The 1,655-nt window shown below is 43.4% G+C and overlaps 1 pseudogene; it reads right to left on the reverse strand.

Moving 5' to 3' along the window:
• Window positions 1-578: 578 nt before the first annotated feature.
• On the reverse strand, window positions 579-679 carry LOC124903413 (uncharacterized; annotated as a pseudogene).
• Between the last annotated feature and the right edge of the window lie 976 nt (window positions 680-1,655).

A 1,655-nucleotide genomic window follows, 5' to 3' on the forward strand; every position in this document is an offset into this window, starting at 1 on the left:
GGGTGGCAGAGTGAGACCCTGTCTAATAAAAGAAAAGAAAATGTAACTTTGGCGTTCTTTGGCTGGAGTTTGGTGCTATCTGTGGTTTCAGGTCTCCACTAGGGGTCTTGGAACATATCCCCACAGATAAGGGGGAATATCGTATCTCTCTTTTGCCAGCTGGCATAGTGTTAAGCGCTGTCAGTAGTGGGTGCTGGAGGAACACTGGAGCAGGAAGAAGTCCATCTTCCTGGTTTTGGTTTGCTCCTTTGCCTTACTCCTGCAGCGTGTGCAATTTCTTCAGTGTACACTCAGGCAGTGCAAAGTGGTCAGCAGTGCCTAGCAGCCAAAAGCTTCCCCTGGCACATTTCTGGGTGACTTCTCAGCCTGTTGCAACTGCTAAGGCACCTCCCCATGAATAACTTGCTTTGGCATCTGCTTGGCCAATTTCACAGCTATTTCAGCCCTAGGAGTAGTGGGTTTTTCTTAAATTTGCTGTTCCTGTGTCCTTTGGAATTCTCATTTCTTCTTACTAGCTAATCCCTTAGTATGCCAACACCCTGTTGGAGTTAATGCTTCTTTATTTTATTTTTGCAAATAAAAATATGAGACACTCCATGAATTTGCATGTCATCCTTGTGCAGGGGCCATCCTATTCTTCTCTGTATCATTTTAGTATATGTGTTGCCAAAGTGAGCACAATACTTGTTTATATTAAACGTTCCTGTTTCAAATGACTGTGTGGTTTCTGTGTCCTGATTAAACCCTGACCGATACAGCTTTAGTCCTAGAATATAGTTCTTCAGGGACGCTAACGATATCCTGTGGTGTTTAACAGGTCCTTCCTCCTTAACAGGTCCTAAATTCCCATTTTTGTTTTCTCAGGACTGTAGACTACTGAAAGTTCTTCTCAGCCTCCTACCTCTTAGGCACTATCTCCTGCTGAGTCTGGCTGCCTCTCACAAATCGATAAATATCCCCCATGGGACAGACCATGCAGAATGTTGGCCTCACCTCAACATGCTTTCCCTTTCTTCTGGGACGTTGGCCCTTCAAAGCCTCCTGCCTTGATGAATTTCCACTGTCTTCAAACATATTTAAAAAAATTTGTACCCAGCTATGCAAAGGCATACAGAGTGGTATAATGGATATTGGAGACTCAGATGTGGGAAGGGTGGGAGCGGGGCGAGGAATAAAAAGCTATATATTGGGTACGTTGTACACTATTTGGGTGACAGGTGCACTAAAATCTCAGACTTCACAATTATACAATTCATTCATGTAACCCAAAACCACTTGTACCCCAAAAGCTACTGAAATAAAAATTTTTTTAATAACTGTACCCAGCTTTTGTAGTTGCTCTCAGAGGGTTGATCTGATGCAAATTAGTTGATCATGGTGAAGTCGGCTAGAGATAACTACAGATGGATAAAATGTTTGTGGAGCAGCAGCGAGGGTCCAGCCGAAGTTAGAAAGCAGTGATTTATTATGGAATCAATCATCATGATTGTGAAACTTTCTCCAGACCAGGAGGCAGAGAAATGCATGCTTGGCTTACCTCAGTTTGAGAAGTGATGGAAAGTTAAGGGCTGAGGAAATCTTGATTGCTTGTGAAAACACTTTTGAAATGGCTCACGTGGATCCCAGGTTGGACAGGGAGAGCACTAACGCTGGAA

This window comes from Homo sapiens, chromosome 14 (assembly GCF_000001405.40).
Source record: "Homo sapiens chromosome 14, GRCh38.p14 Primary Assembly".
NCBI lineage: Eukaryota > Metazoa > Chordata > Mammalia > Primates > Hominidae > Homo > Homo sapiens.